At 40.0% G+C, this 27,636-nt stretch overlaps 1 protein-coding gene across 2 annotated transcripts in view, besides 1 other annotated feature; it reads left to right on the forward strand.

Moving 5' to 3' along the window:
* The window catches only part of SND1 (staphylococcal nuclease and tudor domain containing 1), a 440,400-nt gene that overhangs the window by 128,316 nt on the left and 284,448 nt on the right, over window positions 1-27,636 (forward strand). For both annotated transcript variants that reach the window (NM_014390.4, XM_017011987.3), the window contains exon 11: window positions 26,975-27,064. In NM_014390.4, coding sequence (NP_055205.2) covers window positions 26,975-27,064 — 90 coding nt within the window. The remainder of the gene's footprint in view (window positions 1-26,974; window positions 27,065-27,636) is intronic.
* Window positions 18,319-18,666: a silencer, noted in NCBI's record as "fragment chr7:127438882-127439229 (GRCh37/hg19 assembly coordinates)". NCBI's record gives its function as "represses an EF-1alpha promoter that drives an FKBP-Casp9 reporter gene in an ReSE screen in K562 erythroleukemia cells {active_cell/tissue: K562}" and the evidence as "EXISTENCE:reporter gene assay evidence [ECO:0000049][PMID:32094911]".

The following is a 27,636-nucleotide window of genomic DNA, read 5'->3' on the forward strand; positions in this document are numbered from 1 at the left end:
ATCCCATCAGAAATAATTTCAGCATTGTTGTATTTCTGTTTTCTTTGACACCTAAGATTTGGACTTAGAATCACCTGCCTCTTCAAAGAGAGCTTCCTTTGTAATTTTTCTTCTTGACTTAATGAAAGCCTGTCCCAGTGTTCTCTGTTTAGGGTTTTGCTCACTAATCATAATGACGCCATTGTTCTTTTCTCTTTTGCTAGAATTGCTTCAGTGCCTTAACAGGCAAATTAGACAATGAGAAGAAGAAATTTTTTATTTTAGATCCCTTTTTATCCTATTTGGTCATTTAGAGCACCAGGCAGTCTATCTCCTAAAGAATGAGTTTCACAGTGCACTGGGGATTTAGTTGCCTAAGGTGTCCTATGGCTGAAAAGTGAATTCTTTATGATTTTGGCAGCATTTAGAATTCTTCTGAGCTACGGAAAACTCAAGTTTTATGACCTCTTTGTTAGGCTGCATTGCAGAGACACTGTAATATTGCCTAGTCAGTGAGAAAGATGACTAGGTTTGTTCTGCGGGACATCAAAGAATAAAAGTAGGATCAGATATATGGGAACATATTTCTGCTCAATGTGAAGAAAATAACTTTCTAAGAAAAGTGTCTGGTAGAAGAGAGTGAGCTGCTTCAGGAGAAGGTAGGAACATGGAGAAGATTTTACAGTACATGGGAAGCTGAACTTAAAAGACTTTGAAGTTCTCATCCAACCCACAGACCCTGTGATCCTATGACCTTATAAAAATGAAGAGACCAATTAGTTCACCATAGAAGTAATACGTTATTATTAGTATTTCCACACATGGCTTGCAAGTGACTTAGCTGGTTCTTGTTGAAGCTGCCTTCACTATGTGGCAATCATCGTTCCTCCCCGCCCCCCCTTCATTATACTAATATATATAATTGAACACAGAATTCATCGAGAAAAATGGAAAACTGATTTTATTGCCTTGTGATATTGACTTTTCTTTATAATTGTAACTCCTCCCAGTTATGCCAAGTTGCTGGGGCAGAGACAATAGCAGTGCTTTGGCTCCATAGGAGTTAAGAAAGGAAGAAGAAACTTTTTTGTTCATTTGATTTTTTTTTTTCCACTTGGAATAGAAATCCGGTTCTGAACCTTGTTTCATGGTTTGATTTATAAGTCCTTCCTTTTAGCCAAGGAATATCTTTTTGCTAACCTTAGAGCAAATTAGCCAGATGCTTATATATTTGATAGAGCTTTTCCTTCTGTTATTAATAATTAAAGTAAAAGCAATCATAATGAAATGTCAATTCAGTAATAATGAAAATGTTCCAAAGCATGTTCAGATTTGTAATCTCATAGAATACATGAGAATAATTACCTGGATTATTCCCAGTAATCGTTTCATAGAGGGGAAGCCCAAGATACTGAACTTTGGTATAATTATTTGCAGTACTTAGTCCAGATTCCCCTTTTTCACTTAAGACAACATCCCATAAAATTTTCGCTTGGGTTATATACAATTAATCTGAGTGGTGACCAGTTTCTTGATGATCAAGCTGTAATATCTGATCCTAGTTAGGTTGCATATCTTTGAGGAGGCAGAGAATAGTTTCATGCCCTGCCTGGCTGGATCCTCAGTAACTATTCTTAGTCCAGTGCCTTATTTACCTGTCTGACTTCCTATTGTTTCTTGATTGTCTCTCCCAAGCAGGGGAGATTAATCTAAACACACTGACCTCCTTTGTGGTTGTTGAGGATGATCACAGTTGAGGTCTGGTTGTTTTCCAGGCAGAAAAGGGAAGTTAATTTAATAGGATCCTAATCACAATAGTGGTTTCTGTGATATATGTGCATGAGTTTGAAAAGCAGTCCTGGGGTCCTGCATTCTCACATTGGCCTGCACTGCCTTTTGCCAGGGACTCTGATAAGATAACTGGTCTTCAGATGAGGAATGTATTTCTTTTCATGTTAAGGCATCATTAAACAGCCTGGGGAGCTTATTTTTCTATTTAAGCCTCATTCTGTCATAGGTTACAATCCTTTGGGGGGCAGAGATGTGTTGTTAGTTCGCTGAAAGTAGAATTTAATTGGCTATTCTACAGAATAATGATTTTTAATTTGGCAAGAGAGTCATGATGCAGTCAGCCTTTTAGGTCTTTAAAGTTGTATGGAAGTTAAAGAAAGTAACCAAACCTTACTTGGAACACTTGGCTCCTCCCTCTGCAAAGCAGGGCTGTAGACCTCTGTGTGTGATTGTGGGTTGGGCACACTGGAGCTTCTGGCCATCATGAGTAGCTGTAGTGGGGGCAGGGAGAGTGAGGGTTGTCTGCTTCACCACTGACCTTTTCCAGTGGCCTGGACTGAGTTTTTCAACTGCTGTATGTGTATTCGTTATAGAAATGCTGAAGACTACAACTGCCCAGCAAGTGAAGCATTATCTTCCTCCCCATTTTCCTAAATAGGAAGTAGACCTATTGCAACACCTAGTGTAGTAATGTATGTGGCAGTGATTTCCTCTTTAATTCAGCAAACATGCTGCAGGAGAATGGGGACTCATGGTAAGATTCTGCACATTGGAAATTGGGGACAGATATCAATTCTGGATATATTTCCTTTAAAGGGTAGTTAGTTATCACATGCCTTCTGAGGATTGCATGAGTCACCTTCTAGTGTGGCACCCCTTTTCATTTGGGTATGTAGAGCCATGGTTACTGTTCAACAGACGTTGAACCAGATGTGCCTGCTATTACAGAAGTGAAATCTGACAGCTGTTACCTAAACTCTTCAGTGGCTCTTATTCTATCTACCTCAGCCTGTTTTGATTTTTGAAGCCTTATTAGATACAACAATTTTTGCCCATGGGGAACAGGCTTTCCCTTTTTGGTGATTGACAGGATACTGGTCAGTAGACAGTGATAAGCAGGATTCTGTGATTCTTTTTCCCCTGATGAATATTGTGTTAACAGACTACAGCAGCTTTGTGCTACAGCAGATTCGTTTGATGTCATAGGGAGATGGATTTCCTTCCACTTTAGCTTTTATCTGCTTGTATTAATACCTATGATTAGAGAGGCTGCATGCTGTTAACACATTGATAATTAAGATTGCCATGTTAAAGTGAGTGGTTATAGGTCAGACATACCCACACATTGCTGAGGATCCCTGTAGCAGCTGTACTTGGAGTTTAGCTTGAGGTTGTCTTAGCTCTTTTGCTTCATGTGAAATTTTATGAGAAAAAAAAATTCTCTTTAATCATCAAGCACTTATTGAGCACCTACTGTACCCAGATCTTTTTATGCTCTGCCTTGAAGACTTAAAAAATTTTATACTAGTTTGGTGGCAACTTTGGTCATGTATGAAATAGTATGGTTTAGACTTGGATAATTAATGTTCCTTAAGGTGGGGACCTATACCAGTTATTTTATATTGACATTTTCATTGTGTTGATAGGAAACATGTTAAATGGAAACCCTTGAGTTCTTAGATATTCATGGATTAATGTTACCACATCTAATGGATATTCCAAGGTATAAAGAAAACGAAGTGAACAGGAAATTACTAACTTTTGTTGAGTTTCTACATATGGGTTATATTGTGATAGGTGCTTTGTATGTATTAACTGATTTAAACTTCTGGATATTATCTCACAGTTCTGCCTCCCCCTACCATTGAAGCCTTTACCTCTTGTCTCATTTATTACACAGCTTTTTGGCTCACTGTTTCAAGTATGACTGTTCATTTCTTCTTTGTAAAATTCAGATCACATCACTTCCCTTCCTAAAAGTTTTCTTCACTTTTGCATTCTACAGGTTAACGTCTCTGCCGGGCAAACAAAGCGAGGCCCTTGCTAACTTGTCCCCTGGCTCCCTCTCTAGCATGACCTCCTCCTGTTGTATTCCTTTTTGAACTCTCCATTCTTTTCTACTGCCTATCCTTCTTTCCTCCCTCTGGAAAACTCTAAGTCTTCCTTTAAGTTTGAAAGCTTCAGAGAAGTACCTCTCCCCTCTCCTACTTCTGAAATCATTATTTCTTAAAGAACAACTAATTCTGAAACATGGAAAAGGTATAATTTCAGAATAATGGACAGTCCTTCAACCTGGAGTAATTTACAGTAAATTCATCCAAGTGCATTCCCACCACATTGTTCTCCCTTTTTTCATTTTGTGAGAACTGGGAAAAACTTCACTATAAGCTCTCCCTTGTTCACAGTCCTGTATTTTTGAGCCTCTTGTGTACGTAGTGAAAGTGGTAGAGAGGCTGGAATTGGGAGAATGTGAGTGAAGCAGGAAAAATATAAAAAGGTTTTATTTATTGAAATATAGAATATTTTGGAAGAGAATAGTTTTTAGAGAAAGGCATGGGTAGTATGAGAGCAGAAAGGCATGAAGAAACCCCATGATCATGAAAGTGGGGGCTGGCTTAAAGGAATGTTTTTTCTTGTTTTGTTTTGTTTTGTTTTTTGAGACAGGGTCTTGCTCTTTTGCACAAGCTGGAGTGCAGTGGCACAATCACGGCTTACTGTAGCCTCTTGACCTCCTCAGCTCCTGCCTTGACCTCCTGCCTCAGCCTCCCAAGTAGCTGGGACTACAGGGACACAGCACCACACCTTTTCTGGTAGAGATGATATCTCACTATGCTGCTCAGGCTGGTTGAGAAGTTCTGGCCTCAAGTAATCCTTCCACCTTGGCCTCCCACAGTGCTGGGATTATAGGAGTAAGCCACCATGCCCGGCCAGGAATGCATTTAGATTGACCAGTGGAAGGAAGGAAGGGAAGTCAAAGTAGAAATTAATTGGAAGATGAACAGCATAGAGAAACAAGGGCTAGTCATGAAGCCCTCCTCCAAGATTTTTTAATAACTGCTTGAGTTTTGTGGGATGATTCCTGAGTATGCAGAGACAGAAGTGATATTGATTCATCTTGTGAATTCTGATGCATGCTCTTCACAGAAGGAAAGAGAAAAATCTTATATGAGTTTATTAGTGGTGAGATGACATTCTTTAAGAAATACCATCCTTGATGGCCATTGGGGAACTTGAGCCATTTAAGCCTTTTGGCCTAAAAGTGATCTAACAATTCAATATCTTTCTGGGTGACTGTAATTGCTAGATGTTCGATAGTCATGAAATTTAGTTAGCATTCTTGCTGTTGAATTGATTCTTAGTGTTTATTTGCAAAACCTCAAATGTGTATCTAAAGTCTTGAATGCTTTCTCATAGTTATTCATTGTATACTCAGTAGATATGAAATATCAATTTTACAGGCTACCAAAATGGTATTTAATGGTGGCTGACAGGATAGTGTTTAAGGACAATATGTATTGGATACTTAAATTTTTCTATTACCTGATTCTTGGCACAGATCATTGAATTTAAGTTATACTGAGATTGCAGAAGATCTGCCTGCCTCAATAACCCCAGCTATGCTGCATGTTTATTTAGTCCTGGTTCCTTCCTGTGCCTTCTGCTTTCTAAGCATGTACAGAAGAAAATAAAACAATTATTTGGTTTCTACCTTAACATCTGCTTGCATCAGGAAAGATGTCTAAAAAAAATTTGAGGGACATTTTTGCGGACACTTCCTGAAGCCTGGACCAGTTTTATGTGATTTGTTGACATCCTTTTTTTTTTTCTTTACCCTTTTCTAATGCCTGCTTCTTCAATTATCCTTAAAGACCCAGGGTTTTACCACACTGCAACTTAAAATTTGAGGGTAAATTTGGTAAATCTTGAGCTCCTTAAAAGATGATCTGTTTTATACCCATTTCATTTTTCTCTTGAATTTCATTTTAAATTGATCGCTATGTATTTTAGGCTTATGCATTGCCCTTTTAATGGCTTCTTGGATAAAATACATTGTTCAGTTAGATAAGTAAAGAAGTCATCTGGATTACTGAGCATGACTCACTTAAAATCTCATTGGGAACAATTTCTCTGCCCACTCCTTGTTAACTATGTATTCTGCTGGTATGCAGAACTTAACTGTTCTAAAGAGTTAAAATAAGCCATGGAGATCAGGATTTGGGGTAACAGCCCTCCCTTCAAGACAAGGACTATGAGTTTCTTTACTCCACTTTTTCCTTGACTGGCTCTTGGTTTTCCTTATCCCTTTTGCTATAGATTTCTTTGCTGCATAGTGTTTTTTTGTTTTGTTTTGTTTTGTTTGTTTGTTTGTTTGTTTGTTTTTTGAGACGGAGTTTCGCTCTGTCGCCCAGGCTGGAGTGCAGTGGCGCGATCTCGACTCACTGCTAGCTCCGCCTCCCGGGTTCACGCCATTCTCCTGCCTCAGCCTCCCGTGTAGCTGGGACTACAGGCGCGCGCCACCATGCCCGGCTAATTTTTGTATTTTTAGTAGAGACGGGGTTTCACCGTGTTAGCCAGGATGGTCTCGATCTCCTAACCTCGTGATCCGCCCATCTCGGCCTCCCAAAGTGCTGGGATTACAGGCGTGAGCCACCGCGCCCGGCCTTGTTTGTTTTTAAGAAAGAAATTAGCATATGAGTTAAACTACAAGGAAGTTTGGAATGATTAATGGATGTGATATCCTGTACATAACCCATTTTTTAGTGGCTCTCTGAATAAGAAATCCCTTTGTGACTGGCCCAGATTGCATATTTGCTTGTAGTTTCTACCCCATCTCCTTGTGAGGGAACCTCTGGTACATACTTTAAACTTCTCATCATTGTCATCTGCTCATTGGCACACCTTTTCTTCTGTCTTTTTATGCTTTTTGTTTGTTGGTTTTTATTGATTTTCCTTTGTTTGTTTGTTTTTGAGGGGGGACAGGGCCTTGCTCTGTTACCCAGGTTATAGTACAGTGGCTGTATCCTAGCTCACTGCAGCCTCAAATTGCTGGGCTCAAGCTATCCTCCTGCCTCAGCCTCCCAAGTACCTGGTTCTACAGCTGTGTACTACCATGCCTGCCTAATATTTAAATTTTCATTGTAAAGTCAAGGTCTCACTATGTTGCCCAGGCTGGTCTTGAACTCTTAGGCTCAAGGCAGTTGCCTTCCAATTTTTAAGGCTGTGTAGCTTTCCTGATAATAATGGGAAGTTGGTTTTTCATTTGATCCTCTGAGAATCTGTTGATTTGTGTTGATGTTTTAATGTGCCACAAGTATTTCCTGTTAGCTGCCTGCAGATACAGAGGACTTTTGAAATTTTGCTCTTTGTTCCTTTTCCTTCTCTCTCTGTTCTTCCTTTCCTTCCTCCCTGGCTCCCAATTTGGATTAAAACTTAATGAGTAAGAGGCCTAAAAGACGTAAGACATTTACACAACTGTAGATTTATTATCTTTGAATTTTTGAAAATGAACTTTTAAAGGCTTCTTTTCTATTTTTTAAGGTTTTCAAGTCATGCCAGTGTCTGTGCAGACTGACAACTAGCACTGGGGGAGGGGAGGGGAAGAAGTTGCATTTATCCAAACATTTTCTGAAGGGATCTAACTTTGATTTCCTTTCTATGACCTGATTTAATGGAGACATTTCCACCTCAAAGGAGGATTTCAGGAATGCATATATTCTCACTAGTAGGCGAAACGGGTGCTGCTTTGATTTCTCACACCCTTGGTTGAATATGAATGTTACAATGTGGCATGTTTTCCAGGAATCATAGGGAATTGACCCATTTTATGTAACATTTACAGGCCGATGGGCATTTAGAGTTAGAAGGAACATCATTTAGATCTAGTCAACCCTTTCTCTCTCTTTTTTTAAACAGAGAAGGAAATGAAAGTCCAGAGAGATTAAGTAATTTTATTCAACAAATATTAATTGAGTGTATAACATGTGTCAGACTCAGTACTAGGTGCTGGAGGCTACAGAGATGAATAAGTTTGAGTCCCTGTTGGAGACAAATACATGGTTCCCAGATCATACAGTTTGTAATTAGCAGATTAGAGAATAGAATATTTATGAATCATTCATAATCCAGTCTTTCTGTATTGTGACAGAAATGCTCTCAGCTGTCCTTTTTTGTACCTTTTAATTTACTCATTTAATAAAGTCGATTTTCACTTTTTAAACAAAATAAAATCCATGTTCTCTCTTGACCCAATACCCTCCTTTAGCTGCCATTCTTTCTTGAAAGATTCGTGTACATTAATCATGTACATTTGATCAACTATGCGACCCACTAAAATCTGACTGAAACTGCTCTTGCTGAACTTCCAGTGGGCATGTTTTGGTCTTCAGAAATCGCTTTGAATGTTTTAAGTCTGTTGTCATATCTTCCTTCTTCAAATTCTCTTCTCTTTGGGATCACTGGTGCCCTGATTCTCCTGGCTCTTTTCCTTTTTTGTTTTCATTTTCCTTAGAGTTTCACCTGCCCACTTCTTATTTCTTAAATGGGCCATACTTTTGCACATGTCCGTAGCCAGTGGTCGTCCATCCTTCAAGACTTAGCTCAGTATCATCTCATGAAGCATATCTGACCTTTTCAAGCATTTAGGCACTTCCTTCCCTCTGTTCTTATAGTACCTTGTATATATTTCCTCATCCTGCAAGGTTTTGGTCTATATGTTAAGCTGTGCCTTCTAATTTTTCTCTCTTGAGAACCAGCATCTCCAGTGATTGGCATGTACATTTTAACAAATGTAGTTTTACCCTGAAAGACTTCACACTTGCTTAGGCAAATATGTGTGCAGGACTCTCTGCCTACTATCTACCCCTCCACCCTGCCCCCAGCAGTGAGTCTCTGTCTGCCTCCCCAACTCTACTGGGTTCTCTGAGCTAGGCCAGTGTATCGTTGCTGCCAAGAAACAGCCTGTGATGATTCACTGTTAATGGTAGATTTATAGTTCTATCAATTGTCTGTCAGTATATTAACCCAGTTAAGAAGCTTAAACATAACCCTTAGTTACACTCAAATCGATTGCCAAACCTTTTTAAAAAATTCATAAATTACACATGCATAAATGCGAGCCTAGCCCTGTCTGATTAAATCTGAGTTCATAATTAATGTGAGACAAATAATTGAATTTTTTTATAGCTAAAATTAGGGAATTTCATGTTTCTCACTGCGGAAGAGAGACTATCCTACATAATGGCATTGTTTCCATATTTAATCGTAAGCTAAACATTCATGGTCTTCAGCATGCTGACAGCACCCAAACAGGCAAAAGACACGTGTCTGCTTTTAAGGAAATCCAGCATACTGCAATAAAAAGGCATGCAGGTTGGTTTTCCCTAAAGCCTCATCTTCAACTTGTTACGTGGCCATGATAGTTCTTTCAGGCCTGATAGCATGCTGATTCATTTGCTGAGGTAGAATGTGTTTTCTCTGGATTCCTCATTTTGTTTATGTTGTTGATCCTTCATCCTTTGCTGTGCACTTTTACTGGATCAAAATTAGCTGAATAGAACTAAATCAAGGGAAAAAGAGGAGTGTCCTCAAAAGAAATAGTGGCCATGTGTTACCATTAAACCATTCAGAAAGAAATATTTGTATTTTTAAATTATAGCCTTTTATTTCTAATTAGTTCCAATGTTAAACCTCCTATCTTTAGAAGTATAGAGGTGGTGACGTAGATTGTTAGGCTGGTGGTTCTGAATTGTTTGTTTGTTTGTTTGTTTTTCTTATAACCTCCTGGTCTTGGGTTGTGTTCAAGTCTGTAAGATTTATTAGGTGAACATTCTGTAGCTAGGTGGCATGATGTTCTGGCTTCTCATTAGCAGTGACCCTGGAGAGATTTCTTGCATTCAGCAACATTTGTTTGGAGCCGCCCAGCATCCTTGTCATCGAGTGGTGAGGCAGAGCTTGGGTTTGGGTGAGGAGGTCACCTTGTACATACCTCTGGAGGAGGGAGTGGTGCTGTGTGGGGGATGCTTAGGCTCCCTGGCTTCCCTTCTCCTTAAACACGATCAGCTCTTCTAGGACAAGGAGCTGAGTGCTTGGAGGAGAGGAAAAGGACTGTTTTTCTCTTGCTCAAAGTCTTAAGCCGTTAAAGAGGAATCATAATATTGTTCGACGCCCTGTGATAGCATCCATTGGCCATGGAATTTGGAATTAGTTAAATTAGAGTTCACCTTTTGCTCCTGCCATTTTTAGTGGTGTGGCCAAGGGTCTCTCAATTTCTTTGAGCCTCTTTTTCTTCATAAGTAAAAATATAGGTAATACTTGCTGACTCTTTTGAATTGCTTTGAGGGTTAAATGAGCATAGTGGTATCAAAAAGGTGAGCAAGATGCTGTTTTTAATTTCAGGTAGCTTGTAATCACCTGTAGGATTACAGATGCATAATACTGAGTTGGGTTAGATGTATTACGAGAATACAGGATATTTTATTAGAAAATTCACAGACGGCTTCCTGGAGTCGGTAAGCAGCATTTGAGCATGTCTTGAAGAATATTTGGCATCTGAGTCAACAAAATATTTCACACTGCTGTGGCAGTCACATCTAGGCAGGAGAAACAACATCAAAAGAGGACCATAAGATCCATTCGTGGAGCTTGTTCAGCAAGCAGTTTGGAATATAGTTGTCAGGAGCAGAACTGGGCTAGCATGCTTGATTGTTAAATAGTAACTAAGTATCTTTGCAGTTAACCAAAGATCAGGGTTTTATACTGAACATTTTTATATTAATGTGGAAATTGAATTTGATAGCATTCCTGATGCTTCTCCCAGATTAAATAAATCAGCAGAGTATTGAATGAAATGAGCTTTACCTCTCCTTTTTTTTTTTTTTTTTTTTTTGAGGCAGGGTCTCACTCTGTCCCCAGGCTGGCTGGAGTGCAGTGGTGCTATCTCCACTCACTGGGCTTGCAACCTCCTGGACTCAAGCAGTTCTCCTACCTCAGCCTCCCAGACAGCTACAACTACAGGCACATGCCACCACACCCAACTAATTTCTGTTTTTATTTTTTGTAGAGACAGGGTCTCACTCTGTTGCCAAGGCTGGTTTCTAACTCTTGGGCTCAAGTGATTCACCTGCCTTGGCTGCCCAAACTGCTGGGATTAAAGGCATGAGCCACCATGCCCAACGTTACTTTTTTTTAATTGTGGTAACACATATATAACATAAAATTTACCATCTTCACCATTTTTATTTACAGCTCTGAAATGTTAAATATATTCACTTTATTGTGAAACATATCTATAGAACATTTTCGTCTTACACAACTGAAACTCTGTCCCCATTAAACAGTGATTTCCCTTTTCCCCTTCTCTTAGCCCTGGTTATGCACCCAGCTCCACTTATTTTTGACAGCTGGCTTAAGAGAAGTTCCTAGACTTCATTCAGAAACATTGCATGATAAAATATGTGATAACAAATCTGGGATTTTTTTCATCTTGCTATAGTAGAAAAATGACATTTTGCTGGTATTTTGGGCCTCCCGTGATTTGCCATCTCCGTTAACCCTTACTTTATTTACATCCCATTTTATGCAATATAGTAACCACGTTGACACATTTAAGCTAACTTTAGTCTTCCATTTCTATCATGATTGCAATTTACAAAGCCATGAATGCAGCCTTCCTGTGATTGGGCTTTAAAACCACAAAATGATTCACTATCCATGAGAGTGTTCAACAGCATATTAGGTAGAAAAAATTATAGGTTATTTTGTTCTCTTATTGTGTAATTTTTATATCTTGCACATTCCATGGATTAGACACATACTGTGACTTGAAAGTCTTCTCTTTACTTTGTGTTACCAATTGTTGAATCTTGTGAGCATTTCTCGGTCATCACATATTTTAACTGTGGAAGCTCTTTATGTGTACTAGTTCCTTTTTTATTGGATCTTTTGTGCATATCTGCACAGTGGAGGTGGTCATGGTGTGTGGGGGCAGGCAGGGTGAAGGTGGTGGTATGGAATAGGTAAGAGGGAATTTTCTCTGTAGAGTGTTGTTTATCAAGAGAGGTGGACTGCTGCTATCTGATGGTCACTTTTCTTTGTCCAATTGTGACCTGCAGAGAGGGTGCTTTTAGCTACTGTGTCAGGATCCAGTAAGGAGACAGAAAGCACACCAGTTACTTTAACAGAGAACATAATTTAAGAGATGATTAGCTAGATATGGGAATACTAACAAGGTGAAGAAAAGAACCCTAAGGGTAGCATGGAGGTAATAACTACATGATGCAGCTCCTACCCTCTAAGGTTGGGGGAATAAGAAAAGAAAACATATAAGAACATAGAAATTTAGAGGGAGACCATGTGAAGCTGGGACATAGACTGCTGTTAACTGATGCTTGTGTCTCTAAGCTTGGAGACTAGGACTGGGACTCCAAGGTCTTGGGACCCAGACCTCCCAGGAGTGCTGCCAGTTGATTGGTTCTGATGAATCTGAGGAGGTGTGATAACCTGTTTCTGGGAGTGTTGGGAAGACAGCAAGCTGAACTCGCTTGCTGCTGCTGGAACAAGCTACCATTGCTGGGAGGAAGAAGTAGTGCTCTGGAGCCACTGGCAGGAATAGGAAAGATCTGCCCCTTCTTCCAGTTCTGGCTCTCTCTGGCACCCCCTATTGGCAGAGCCTAAGGAAGCCAGGTGGCAAGGCAGAAATGGGGTTTGCAGGTTCCCTGCCCCAGCATCACCAAGGAAAAGTTTAGAAAGATCAGTTTTGAAACTGCATCACAGTAGCTTCATAATGGGCATAACTACTAGATCCAACTTTTTCCAGTTTGATGAGTTTCCCAGGGTGGGCAAGCACGCATTATGTGTTGAAATTAATTGACCTTTTCAGGTCTAGGGGACATTGTGTGTGGTGAGTGAAAAGCCAGTGGGTAATCTGCCAGTTCTTGCTACCACAGCAGTTGGGAGGCAGACGATAGAAACTGTCATAGGTTCTGGGGCAGACAGATCTTTGTGGGAGCTTTTTGCTCTGACATATGTGATATCGGGCGTGTTATTTCTCTGGGCACCTAACTTCTCAGGTCTCTCAGTGAAGTAAAGCTATCATAATTCCAGCTTTATTTGCTATTGCGAGGATTAGAATTAATATGTTTAATGTGCAAGCAGATAGCACCACTCAAAGAGTTAGTGGTGTTTGTTTTGTTTTTTAATGAATTGTAGAAATTTAGAGTGGCGCCAACCCTTTGTGTTAAGGGAGTTAGGTTAGGGTGCCAGCAGTAGGAAAGGTAAGGGTTTCATTGTCACAACGCAATGGTGATAGGATTGACATAAAAACATTGTTAAACAGGCACCATTTCAGTTATTTTATGGCTGGAAGGACAAGGGTATTTAGGGTGACATTACATGAAGGAGGATATAAAACTGTGTTCTCACAGATCAAGGCACCAGTCTCACGTCCCATGTCATTCCCCACAGATGAAACAGCTGTGAACAGCTACCGCAGTTATAGAGCGAGAAGTTCCCCATTCTTGCCCTCCTCCCCTCCACCCTCACCTGACTGTCCTGTGCACTGTGACTTGCCTGCCTGTTTACTAGGTGCAACCAACTGGAGAAAAGAACCCCAACAAATTCCTGAGTATGGCTTCAAGTTTGTTACGGTCCCTTCACACAGTGGGGCAAGGCATGCTATATATATATAATGAAATTGCTATGCCAGCTGGGTACTGCATCTACATGTCTGTGCTGTTCATAGTTCTTTTAAGTTTATTTGCCCGTATTTCTCCATGATAGTAGTGGGTGATAAATGTTGAAGTTTTCTGATTGATGTCAAGTAGACTGTAAAGTAAAAGAAAGTCATCTTCCTTCGTTAAGGTTAGACTGATATCTGTCCTGAAAAGGTACAGGCCTCATTTTACTGAATATTTATGCACAGGCTTAGAATACTTTGAATTTGGTGGATAAAATATGTGGCACTAGACCTGGCATCCTGATTTAGACCTTGGAGGGACGCAGCAACTAAACAGAAACCCAGTGTCTAAAGGGAGACCTTTCTGTGTGCACTTACATAATTCAGTCTTGTGTTTTGAAATGCACAACAATTCATTGCACAAATTTGACTGGAAATCTGGCTCAGTTGAAGGTTCCACTGGCACCAGCTAAATAATGGTGTCATATCCAGCCTTATTTTCCCTTCTGTGTTCTTCCAGGAAGAAACTTTAATAATAATAATTATTTTTTAATATGGTGAAGAAAGGAAGACATACACAAAGAAGCATTTCTCTAACAAAATGATATTATCCTCTGAATGGGCTCACCCGCTCCTTCTGTCTGTTACAGAGAAAATTGGTTTCCTGTTGTCAGAGATTTATTTTCTTTTCCTCCTGTTCTTTTCCCCTCTTCTGTAACTGTGGGAGGGTTTGTGGCACATCCCTGTGCTGGATGGGTTTCATCTGGCTTGGTGCCTGTACTTTAAGTAACGGGGTTGTCTCTTCTGAGGGCATTGGCTCTCCATTTTTAGCCGGGGTATGAACAGTAAGAAATGTGGGAGAAGATTTCTCCATTACTAGAAAACATGATCTGGGGCCAACTGGTTAATTATGAGCTTCCAATGAAAAGGAAAGTAGTGCCAGAAGGGCATAGCCAGTTGTGATATACTGGTCCTTGCTGCCACCGGTTACCATACTGGTTTCCATTACCTTGAAAACCTTTAGACCTGCTTTTGTCTTTGAAGGCTTCTTTCTCTCTGCTCATTTTCCTCTACTGCTTTTAAACTCTGGCTTCTTATTTGTAGATTTTTTTAAATGTCCTTTCCAATGAAGGAAATTTCCCCTTTTTAATGTTGATTCATGTTTCTAGTTGATCTTCACAACTATTAGCTAGGTAGAAAGATGCTCTTCTGCAGAGACACTAATTATATTTTATTTCTTCTCAGCTCTACTTGCTCATTTAAACAGCACCCAAAGAGATTTCATTCACCAAAACTTCATGCCTGTATTGCTGCAGATGAGTCTTTCCAGAGCAAAGGAAGAGCTCTATGATCTTTCACTACCCTTTCCTTCTTTTCTTCCAATTTAACCTCAAAATATACCAACCCCAGCAACTGTGTTTACTTAGGGTTAATCTCAACTTCATGAGTTTTTTTGAGGAAGCTAGTTCTTTTGAAAATATTCCTCTTTATATGGTAGTTTACTATCATATTTATTTTAGCGTTGAACTGTCACACATAAAATATTTTTAGTGTATCAGTTCAGCTTTACTTGAACTCTGAATGGTATTATATGTGTTCTGTAAGGATTTCTGCTAACTTAGCTAATAATAGACTGAGGGTGTGTTTTTTCAAGATCATAAGTAATATAATTCATTATGTCAAACTTGTAGGTGTAGAGAGAATAGAAGATTGTTTTAAAGTCTTAGGTCAAAAGAGAGCATAGTGATTATTTGGATTTTGTAAATTTGGATTTTCTCTAACATTAGACGCAGGCTGCCAAGAGTACTACTTTTTCATTAGCAATTACAAAGGGTCTAGGTTTTGCAGTTGTACAATGAGATATCTAGTTAAATGTTTTCTAATCTTTTATTTATTTATTTATTTATTTTATTTTATTTATTTTTGAGACACAGTCTTGCTCTGTCACCCAGGCTGGAGTGCAGTGGCGTGATCTCGGTTCACTGCAAGCTCCGCCTCCCGGGTTCACGCCATTGTCCTGCCTCAGCCTCCCTAGTAGCTGGGACTACGGGCGCCCATCACCACTACCAGCTAATTTTTTATATTTTTAGTGGAGACGGGGTTTCACCATGTTAGCCAGGATGGTCTCGATCTCCTGACCTTGTGATCCGCCCTCCTTGGCCTCCCAAAGTGCTGATGTTTTCTAATCTTTATTGATTAATGGACTTATCTAGTATAGTATAAAATCATATTTAGTAATAGTAGCCAGAAGGTTGAGGAACAGTTTGTATTCAACTAGTATAGTATAAGCGCCTTCATTCTATGAATTTGCTAACAATGGTATAAAGTTGCAGTGATACAACTGCCCCCCCTTTAAAGTTCACTTTGAGATTTACTAACCAGATTTATTAAATCCCATAATCACAAGAAATAGAGTTTTAGTTGTCAAAAATAAATTTTTTAGATAGGTCTTTCTATATTCCCCATTATATTCCCTCAGTATTTTGATATTTCTAGGAATGTGGCACTATGCTGGGCACTTTCTAGGTACCATAAACAGCTTTTTTTCTCGTTCATAGATCTTCCCTCATGTAGTCTGGCAGAGGCAGTAAGACCTGTATAAAGTAATTAAATTACAATAATACAAGGCAGAAAGTGATTAGTGCTATAACTTTGGCTTATCTCGTCTTCTGTCCCTTGACATTTTTGCTCTTGTTAACATCCATGTTAGATGCTGTAAAACTTAAGCTAAGTAGCTTTGCTTCTTAGCAGCAGTAAAAGTATAGATCTGGTTTTCTCACGGAGTTTATATTTGCCAAAATGTTCCTTGAGTGTGAACTTAGACTTGCCTTAATTCGTACTAATTAGCCCATTTCTGATTTTTACAGTTTTGAAATAATTTTGCTTGGTTTTCACCACAAAGTCATAAGTAAGTCCAGATAATTTTTATTTTCCTGAGTCTTTTTTTTTTTTTTTTTTTTGCTATTGAGTCTCTCTCTGTCACCCAGGCTGGAGTGCAGTGGCATGATCTCAGCTAAACGCAACCTCCACCTCCTGGGTTCAAGCGATTCTCCTATCTCAGCCTCCCGAGTAGCTGGGATTACAGGTGAACGCCACCATGCTGGGCTAATTTTTGTATTTTTAGTGGAGACAGGGTTTCACCATGCTGGTCAGGCCGGTCTTGAACTCTTGACCTCAGGTTATCCACCCACCTCACCCTCCCACAGTGCTGGGATTACAGGTGTGAGCCGCTGTGCCCGGGCTATTTTGCTGATTCTTAAGAGGAAACCGAGGCAAGCCACCAAGTAGGAGGCCAGTAGGTTGGGCCACAATCACTGTGTAGAGCCCAGGTTTCTAGTAGATCAGCATCAAGCTGCCTGCTACTCTTGGCCATTTGTTTGCCATGAAATATTCAGGGAATGTTTGATTTCAAGGTTGAGGGCAGCTCTTTTCCTCATTGCCTTCAGGAGAACTGAACTCAAGCCTTGTTCTCTTCAGGAATTGATGCCCTTTCTGCTTCATTATCCCAGGCTTACTGGCTGAGTCCTCACTGTTCCTCTAGGAAAAGTAGCATAGACTTCATTCCCTCTTGGAGCAGATTTTTACTTTCAGAGCACTTCGGGGGTGGGAAATGTTTGTGTCCGGTTACATGTTGGAAGCCATGCCTGCACAGGGAAAGGAAGATGGGGCAGGGCCCCAGCATCTTTTTGTTTTCAATTTTCTTCAGTGGGTGTGGGAGCCACTTTGCTGCTGGTGGCCCAACTTCTTGTGAGCCTTCAGGTCCTTTCACATTTAGGTTTGTGAGGGGTGATACTGTTCTTTTATTTCACCTTTTTTCCCCCCTTGCAGTAGTATTTGTAGCTAAGTGAAGGGACCGCATATGGTTTGCTACTTGGATAATGGTTTGGGAGCCCCTAGAGCCTTTAAGCTATTTAAAGTCCTGACAGGGTCTTGGGGGAACAAAGACCTCATGCTTGGCTCCTGCTATTTCCTCCCCATCCTTCTCTCTGTCCTCTTCCCTCTCTCATCCTTACTGCGTCTGAGCAATAAATAGCAAGTGCTTCTGAAATACTCTTAGTTGGCTAATGTAATTGAGTAGAAGAACACTCTTTAGACGCAGATTTTTTTTCTTACATGATGGTCTTGAAAATGGTACTTTAATTTCAGGGTGTGCAGGTACCTGTGGAATATAATCATATGCTGTGCACTGGAGATAACGGGTCAGGCTCTTTAAGGACATGAGGCCGCCTAAATTTGCTTTACTTCTTCCCTCTTTGGTCCTGTGAAACTCTTGTTCTCCTACTGGCAAGCTGCCAGGGGACATTTGTAATCAAGACTGTTTCTTGGAATTGCCACTGCCTCTTCTTTTCTGCTCTCACTGTGGCTAGTGTGGGTCCAGACCCCTGGATGGCTTTGGGGGCTTGGGCAGGAAAGGAGACAAGACATGCCTACTCTTGCCATTCCTGTCATGGCCAGGTTGGTTTGCTGTCTTAGATTCTCAGATCCCACACCCAGGCTTCCAGTAGCTGGAACTAAGGAATATTTGGAAATTTTGTTTTGTCACTGTTACTACAATGTTTCCTGGTGTCTTATTTGTATAGAAGTTGGAGGGGTATTGAATTCTCCCATTTTTATTAACCTACTTACTTTTTTTTTTAATTGAACTATTTTGGCATTAATCAAGTTCTCCAGTGTGGCTTTCTGCATTTAATAAAACTCTGACCCCCTCTTTGTTTTATTGCCTTCGATTTAAAAGTCATGGGGCCAAGTGCCTAAAATATAGACATTTTTGTGGCCTGGAGACCTCCTTGCTACTTATTTAAAAATTCACATGGTCAGATACAGTGGCTCATGCCTATAATCCTAGCTCTTTGAAAGGCTGAGGCGGGAGGATCACTTGAACCCAGGAATTTGATATCAGCCCTGGTAACATAACAAGACCCTGTCTCTACAGAAAATTAAAATAATTAGCTGGGTGTGGTGGTGCATACCTATAGTCCCCAGCTACTCGGCAGGCTGAGGTGGAAGGATCATGTGAGCCTGGAACGTCAAGGCTACAGTGAGCCCTTGTCATGCCATTGCATCAGGAGCAACAACATAGCGAGACTGTGTTAAAGAACAAAAATTAAAAAGCACGTTTGTGGGAATCACACCAGACCTACTGAGTCAGATTATCTGGTGTGGGCTTGGTAGTCTGCATGGTTATAAGCTCCCAGGAGATTCTTAGGCACACTGAAACCTGACAACCACCGACAGGTGGTGATTGTCTTTTGGCAGTAAAAAACCAAGAGCTGCAGTGCCTGGCTCACAAGCCATGAGCCTCTGGGGTACCTGGGATCAAAATCCCAGCTTTGCTATTACTAGTTATGTGACATCAGGCAAGTTACTTAAACTGTAAGCCTCAGTTGCCTTCTAGTAAAAGGGGGATCATGATCCTTACCAGGTAGGACTGCTATCAGCATTAAGCCTATTTGATAGGGTTATCTGTAACTATTATTATTCTTTAAGTTCTAGTGCTTTTCACACATGCTAATAGGGCCTTAAAGATGGGATCAGCAGGATCAAATAGGGTTGTCAGAAAGATTGAGAAATTGGAGGGTCCTACACAAGCCACAATGAAACACTTAAGGGAGGTAGTTATCTTCATAATCACCTCCTTCTAACCTCACACCTGTACATTTTATCACGTAGATTCCAGTTTTTAAAAAAGTTGGATTTTAGTTTCTATTGTTTTCCATTTCGTCTTTGCTTCCTGGAAGATATGCTAAATGTATTGCGTTGCTGTGAATTTGGCACTTGCTCAGATCATGTCTCTGTTATAGACTGTATTTACTTTTAAGAGGTATTTTGAGTGGAGAGAATGAAATAGAGCTGGTTGGAAATAAAGCTGCTTTTTCCTTGAAACAACTCTTGAGGTATTTGGATCTATGAGGCTTCTGTGTATGGTCCTTTAGGAATACTTAGGTATCTTAGGAAGATAAAAGATACCTTCTATTCGGCCAGGTGGTCACAATTTTAAACCTTCCTCCTGCTGCTAGCTTGTAGCTTTCTAGTTATCAGACCTGCCTTTTATAGAAATGTGCTACTGTATGTGTTAAGGACCATAAAACAGTGGCTATCCCTGTGTGTTCTGTCTCCTGGATGCCAAGGGAATTGAAAGGTCCTTAATTGTAAATATGCCCAGGGCATGTGGTAATGCTCCTATTTTAAGTCTATAATTGAAATGGAAATTGCAGCCTTTGTTTATTAAAATGGCATGTGTGGCAGGGCAACTGGGACTGGTCCATTATTTACTGTTTGAAATCTTACCCATTTTAATCTGATCATGTCTGTAGTTCTTATTGTAATTCAACAGTCAGTTTTAAGATCATCATGGAGTATAATTCCACTTGGGCACATTAATTCATATATTATTGTTGAGGCTCCTTTTAAAAATAAAAATCAAACTTGTTTTTGACCCTGTTTATAGAACTTTTGTAGTTAAATTTATTTCCTCTGCCTCACAGAAGGATATATCTGTAGAAGAGTATCCTTTTTTTGAGGAAATAAGTGGAATTTAATACATTTCTTATGAGGAAAAGAATGGCCAGTTATTCTGCTGAAGAGAGGAATAAAAGTATGAAATATTGGGAGAAATGGGAAAGGGTGATCAAAGAAGCTTTGGAGATTTTCTCTCCCTCAACACTTTTGTCTTAAAAAAGAAATATAAGTTTATAGAATAACATAACAAACATCTGGGTTCCTTTTTCAGCCTTGATATTCTTCCCTGTGTGCTTCAGAGCCTTGTTTTTTTCCTTTTTACTGTTGTGTATTACACACACAGTTGAAAGTCCCTGTGTACTTGTCCTCAACCCCATTTTGAGGTTTTCTCTTTCTCTCCCCACCCATTCCACATCAGTAACCATTGTGCATTTTTATTCTTTTGCTGCTTACATAGCTCTATGAATAATATACTATTGTTTGTATCTGTTTTTAGTCTGCATTTATATTGGGTTTTACTATATCAGTCTACAACTTGCTTTTCCAGCTCAATTTTGTTTTTTCAGTCTGTCCATTTGCTATGTTGCTCTAAATCAGCCAAACTACTGTGTATTCCATTGGGTGACTATACCATATCCAGTGTTAATATGGATGTTGTTATACTTGTCTTGCACGTATGAGAATTTTCTGGGGCATATACCTACCTGTAAGTAGCATTTCGTAGTTAGAGGTATGTGTGTTACCACCTTTAACCAAACAGTGCCACATAGCGCCACATCAAAGTGCCAAAGTATTTAACCTTTTTATACTCCCATCAGTGGTTAAGGGGCATTCCTATTTCTCCACATTCTTTAAAATATTTGCCAATATGTTGGAGGTACTGTATCTCAATTTACATTTTTCTGACAATTATCAAGTTATACTTTTTTGCATACTTAATGTGTCCTTGGACTTCTTCAGTGAAGTACCTGTTTATATCTTTTGCCAATTCATCTATGGGTTTATTTCTCTTTTTCTTATCAATTGTCCGTTATTTACTGAGTAAATCAAAGTAATCAGAAGAGAAACCCCACCAACTCTCAGTACCACATCTATCCACCCACCTACTGGAATCTGCATCCATACACCTGCAGATGAACTACTGGTGCTCTGTGGAAAGCCATTCTGTCCATGGCATGGACATTGCTTTAGCAGTTCTCTTCTCTCTCTCCTTTGCTCACCACTAGACCATTGCCTGTTATTTCTCCAATCTGAAATCAAACCCAAAAACCTTATCTTCGCTCTGCCGCCTCCTTGCCGGGGAAGGTGCACGCCACCATAGTCTCTTCGTACTCCTTCATGACACAGCTTTTGAAAGGACTGTATATACACTTGACCCTTGAATAGTGTGGGGTTTAGGATTGCCAGCCTCCGCGTGGTCAAAAATTCATGTATAGAACTCTTTTTTTTTGAGACAGAGTCTTGCTCTGTCGCCCCCGCTGGAGTGCAGTGGCGCGATCTCAGCTCACTGCAAGCTCCACCTCCAGAGTTCACGCCATTCTCCTGCCTCAGCCTCCCGAGTAGCTGGGACTACAGGCACCCACCACCATGCTTGGCTAAATTTTTTTTTGTATTTTTAGTAGAGATGGGGTTTCACTGTGTTAGCCAGGATGGTCTTGATCTCCTGACCTCATGATCCACCTTCCTTGGCCTCCCAAAGTGCTGGGATTACAGGCGTGAACCACCGCGCCCAGCTCTAGAACTTTTTACTCCCCCCAAAATTCAACTACTAATTGCCTACTGTTGACCAGAACAGGAGAGGTTGGTCTTGCTGTCACAGGAATGGCAGGGGCAGGAGAAAATCCAGATGTAAGTGGGCCTGCACAGTTTAAACCCATGTCATTCAAGGGTCAACTGTTCTTGCTGTCCTCAGGTTTTTTCTTAACATTCTCTTGTGCACCCATTTGTAGTTTCAACCAGGCTTTTACCCCTAGTGCTCTACCAAAAGTATGCTCATCAAACTACCAATGACCCACACTTAGCTAGATCCAAAGTGCAAATCTTAGTTCCCATTTTGCTTGCCTTAGTTTGTGGCATTTGACACAGTTGATCATTCCTTCTTGTCCACTCGTTTTCTTTTCTTGGTTTCCAGAACACAGCATTCTGGTATTTTCCTTCCGCCCTGCTTACTGGTTGCTCCTTCTCAGTCTCCTGTTGCATATTCATGACCTTTTAATGTTAGAAGATACTACCTATATGCCAACAACTCCCAAACGTATTTTGCTGGGTCCAAACTCCATGTTTGTATACCCAACTGCCCATTCAACATCTCCACTCAGGTATCTAATAGCTGAAGCTTAGCATGTCTCCTGATCTTACCCTTCTCCGTTCGTCTATTCTACTGGTGAATCTTCCCGATCTTATTTGATGGACCCCAGCCATCTTTACATTTGCTCAGATAAAAAAGGAGTCATTCTTGATTCCTCCTTTTCTTTCATTCCTAACGTTCCATCCGTCTTCTTTCAGAATGTATCCAGTTCTGACCACTTCTTGCCTTCCTCACTGCCGCTGCCTTGATGTAATCTCTTATGATTTCCTGCCCAGATTACTATCATAATCTCCTAATTTGTTTCCTCTGCTCCATCCTTTTCTTGTCACAGTGTCTGTTTTCAACACAAAAGGCAAAATAATTCTTTCAAATGTGAAGTCAGCTCTGTGTCTTCATCTCCTGCTGCCTCCCGCTCCTGCATTCTGCTCTAGCTGCAGTGGTGGTGCCTTTGTTGCTAATGTGCATTGGCTGTTATCTTTGCTTTTCTTCCGATGACTGGGCATCCCATACCTCTTTGAGTTTTTGATAAAATCAATCTCAGTGCGGCCTGCCCTGATATTACAGCTGTGGCCCTGCACCCCTGTTCCCTTTCCTGCTCTCCATGTTCTTTTTTCCATTTCACTTATCCCTACTGTCAGTGCTTTCTTTGACTTTTCACTTCATTCATGATGTCTTTTCAGTACAGAACTTTTAAAATTTTAGTGGAGCCACACATTTCAACCTTTTTTAAATATATAATTTGTTACTATTAAAAAATTTTTATTTTTTACACTTTAAAAAATGAGATCAAATATACATATAAAATTTACCATCTTCACCATTTTGAGTGTATATCAGTGGCAATCAATTTATATTCTTTTTTCTGCCTTCATTTCTCCCTCATTTATAATAATCCTACAGTATCCCAAGGTCATTTAGTTTTGGGGTACAATGTTTAAGAATGGGCTAGGTAAAATTAGGCCTGAATGGGGGTTGAGAATAAGGACTTGATTCAAGTTCTCTTTCATTCCCTCCTAATGAACATTGGCCAGACTCCCAATTTTGGCAACCAGCCAAAAATACCTTCCTGAAAAAATGCTAGCTGTATCTTCAGATGCTGAGATGTGGATATTGGGCCTCCTTCCCAAACTGATGAGAGGTACAGATGACTGACGTTACCTCTTCCATCTCTAATGTGAGTCATTGCAGGGCCTACATGCAATGTCATTTCTCAGGATGAACAGTGATTACAGCACATATTGGTTTGTGTATTATCCACCCACGAGTTTATGAAGCAAGCATTTTTTCCTATTTTTATTTTTTAAAAAATATTTCCATGTAAATTAGAATCTAAACTAGACAGTTCTGTTTAAGCAGGCAAAATTCAGCTAAAGTCCTGTTTTCTGAGAATTGAGAATACATTCCATACCTCACTTGCCTCTTGGAGATTTCAAAGGCTTTTATATACCTGGTAATTTGCAGGAATTGCTTTTATTTTGTGGTTTCTCAGGGACTTCTAATATCTCTCTTGTAAGATGTTTGCAGATGTCAATAGCTACTAGCTCTGAGGGGTTAGAGTAACAAGATCATTCTGTGGTATCTTGTTTTCTGCTTGTGCTATTAGTTCTTTTCTAGCTTCATGAGAGACATATAATCAGACTCTGAAGGTGCCTTGTTTTTTATTGGGATGTTTGTTGATACACTTTTTATTTTCCTTCATTCTTTTGAGGGTATTTTGTCCTGTGGAGTGTCTTAAAAGCAAGATTCTTATTTAGACAAACATTTTCAAACATTTAGTTGTACCTCAACCCATAATCTTCATTTGAAGGCTCATTGGAACAGTGTTTCTTACCTTTTATTCCTAGTTTTGGAATTACAGCCAACTGACATTCCTTTCTACCTCTGTGCTGTTTCAGAATATGTGGGGAGACAGATGTAGCGGTGCATGCTTATAGTCCTAGCTACTCAGGAGGCCGAGATGGGAGGACTGCCTGAAGCCAGGAGTTCAAGACTAGCCTGAGCAACATAGTAAGACCCCATATCTTTAAAAAAAAAAAAATGTAGGTAAGTTGCAGGATTTTGGGTTCTGAGGCAAATCATAAGGCTATGTAAGGTCAGTGTCGTTATTTTGTTCAATTCATTTTTCAAAATGTTCACTTAGTCTTTAGTAATCACAGAGCTACCCTCAGAAAATAGAATGTCCACTGTTGTTTGGTGAATATGAGTACGCTGACACTTCTTTATTCCTGAGGGCTGGTTGTGATAACCATTGATTTTGTCTTTATTTAAAATCCTGTTTATTACCGGCACCTGGTATCTTCTGTCTGGCAAGCATTCTTACGTATGATTGAGCGCCATCACCAACTCTGCTTTACAGCTTATGTTACACTTGGCTCCTTAAGAGATCTCTGATTTGTAATCTATTTTTATAAAATATCCATAATCCTGTACATCTGTCCCTTGTGTTAACCAGGATTCCCCTAACCCAGGCAATTTCTATGCATCCCATTTCCTTTATTTTCTATAAGAAAACCTCAATGTTATTTTGTTCCTCTAAAGATTTTCATGTTTACGGTCATATCCTTCCCATTAGACAGTGATCATGACACACCTGGGCCTTGATCAGAGCTCAGCCACCCCAGAGGCTTCTATCTGGAGTATGTTGATTTCCACATATGATCTGGGAGAAGGAGCTACCTTAAGTTTCTAGAAGAGCACTGGAATGATGATCATTATGCCCTCTGCCCCCACTTTTTTTAACAGGAGGTAGAAAACAGCTGATTAGTGAATATGAAACTCAAATTTCCTTGACACTGAAAGTGTTATCTGCATTCTCATAAGAGATTTTCTTGGTCGTAGTCAATGAATTGAAATGTTTGTATGTGCTAGAGGCATGGAGGCTTAGTTTGCATCGAGGAGGAAGCATCTATTTCATAGATCCCCTTAACCATAATATCGACCTTAGGATGATTTTTAAATGGGGCATTGAAATGATGAAGGCTGTTTACTTAAGAGTAGCGGCTATTTAGGAAAAAATGTAATATCTGCTTTGAGTACAGTTTGGACTGCACAGAGGTGTCTTGTTTTGTCAGGTGCATAATAGGTGGCAAAGGTTCGGCCAGATTGGATAAGCATAGAGGATGTGGAATCAATGGTGTACATCTAGGGTAGGGGTTAGTCCTTGATTTTCTCCTGTCTTTCTATACTTTTTGCAAATATTTTCCTGGAGGTTCTCAAGTCTGCAAAGCAGTCCTGTTCTCCTAGCATACTTGATCTTTGTATATCAGTCTGCATGTTTCTTTGGAGCTACTTAAATCTAACTGTAGTTATTGAGTATGTACTAATGAGGGAGGTACTGTACTTGGCTCTGGGGAGTTAAAGAAAAACAAATGGGTCTTTTTTGTCTTGGAACTTATAGGCTTCTGGGAGGGAAACATTAAAGTGAAGTATACCAACTGGTGTAGTCAGGATCTCTTATTTCTTATACAAAGACAAAAGTCTCTTGACTTACGCATGTCATCATGACTCCACATTGGATTCCTACTCCTTTATCCTCCCTTTCTACACCATTGTCAGTTCCCGTTAATTCATTTCTTCAAGTGGTTCTCATCATCTCTCGGGCTCCTGTCCTTTCCTACTTCTGTTACCTTCATCTAGATAGACCCTCTTATATCATCTAAAAATGGCATTGCTTAGAATAGCCACCTCTTTTAGGAGAAGTCTGGGGCCTATGAGATAATGAAGTAAGTGTGTATGTGTTGACATACTATTTCTTCCTGCCTCTCTTCTTTTGGTTTTTCTGTTTTTTCCAACTTTAATTTTCCTCCTATTTCTTTACTATCCTGCAAACTCATATTAAATCTGACCTTGTCAATGAAACATTTCCTGATTACTTCTTTCCACTTCCCTGAACACTTATAGCATTTAGTCCCTAGTCTGTATCACATGTATTAGCATAGCACTTAATCAAAACACTTGTCCAGGTGTGATGGCTCAGGCCTGTAATCCCAGCACTTTGGGTGGGAGGCAGAGGCAGGTGGATCATTTGAGGTCAGGAGTTTGAGACCAGCCTAGCCAATAGGTGAAACCCCATCTCTACTAAAAATACAAAAATTAGCTGGGTGTGGTGACACATGCCTGTAATCCCAGCTACTGTGGAGGCTGAGGCACAAGAGTTGCTTGAACCCAGGAGGCGGAGGTTGCAGTGAGCCAAGATCATGCCCCTGCACTCCAGCCTGGGCAACAGAGCAAGACTCTGTCTGAAAAAAAAGGAAGAAAAAAACTGCTTTGTGTTGCTATTTCATATCTGTAGGATTTCTGTTATTACTATTTTAAGTTTCATAATTTTTGAGTCCAGGATTATATATGTATTTACAGAATGCTTTGTATGGAACTAACAGTTGGTAGGTGCTCAGTAAAGATTTTTTGAGTAATAGAATTGGATTTAAAATATCTATAAATATTTGAAGGGTCCTAATACTTAATTGAGCTTCTTCTGTAATACAGTTTATGCCTCTATGTCTGTGTTAAAGACCATTTGTTTCCAGTTTGGGTAATTACAAACACTTCATTTCTTATTTGTGAGCCTGTTATGTGAAAAAGGTAGCCCTATTCTCAGTAAAGCATTTCAACCAAATACTTTTAATCATTTATTATGTGTCTTAACACATTTAATATTTGCGATACTAAGAGATAACCAATTTCAGACACATTCCTATATCTTGTGCTGTTGTACATGTTCATTTGATATTGTTCATTCCTGATGTCATGTTTTATTTTACTTTTAGGATAAGAACAAGAAACTGCGTCCCCTGTATGACATTCCTTACATGTTTGAGGCCCGGGAATTTCTTCGAAAAAAGCTTATTGGGAAGAAGGTAAGTAATTGATGACAGAAGCATATTTGCAAGTGGTTGGGCTTAAGCTAATCTTTTGGAGGCAATTGTTATAAGCTGGGCCCTTTACCAGCAGATGACACTTCTCCATCAAGTCAAATGGAATTACTTTGATATGAAGAGAGGCGTGTTTATGTGTCAGAAACGGTACCCGATGGGAGAGGTTTAAAATTGGGGCCCTGACCACAGTTTGATTGCCAATAGTCTCACAGCAGGGTCCGGGCTCAACTCCAGTTTTAATAATTGCATATTGCCCTGAGCTCCATTCAGTTGGCTCTCTTGTTCTCTCCAGCCACCTTCATTAAATGTCCAGGGCTATGGAATTTACTAGCGAGGGAAGGTTGCTGCTTTTTCATGCTTCCCCTACTTCTGAGGGATAGGCTGGCTATAAGGGGAAGAGGGGATGACCTGGACTAAGAGCACGCCTATTGTAATGCACTGTGGCATCAATGCTCCCTCTATTCTTCTGGCTGGCAGAATTTCCTATACCCTGTGGGAGTTTTTTTTTTCAGGAAGGGGTGTGTGGCTTCCTGATAGTTCATGTGCAGATTTTT

Source organism: Homo sapiens, chromosome 7 (assembly GCF_000001405.40).
Source record: "Homo sapiens chromosome 7, GRCh38.p14 Primary Assembly".
Taxonomy (NCBI): Eukaryota; Metazoa; Chordata; class Mammalia; order Primates; family Hominidae; genus Homo; species Homo sapiens.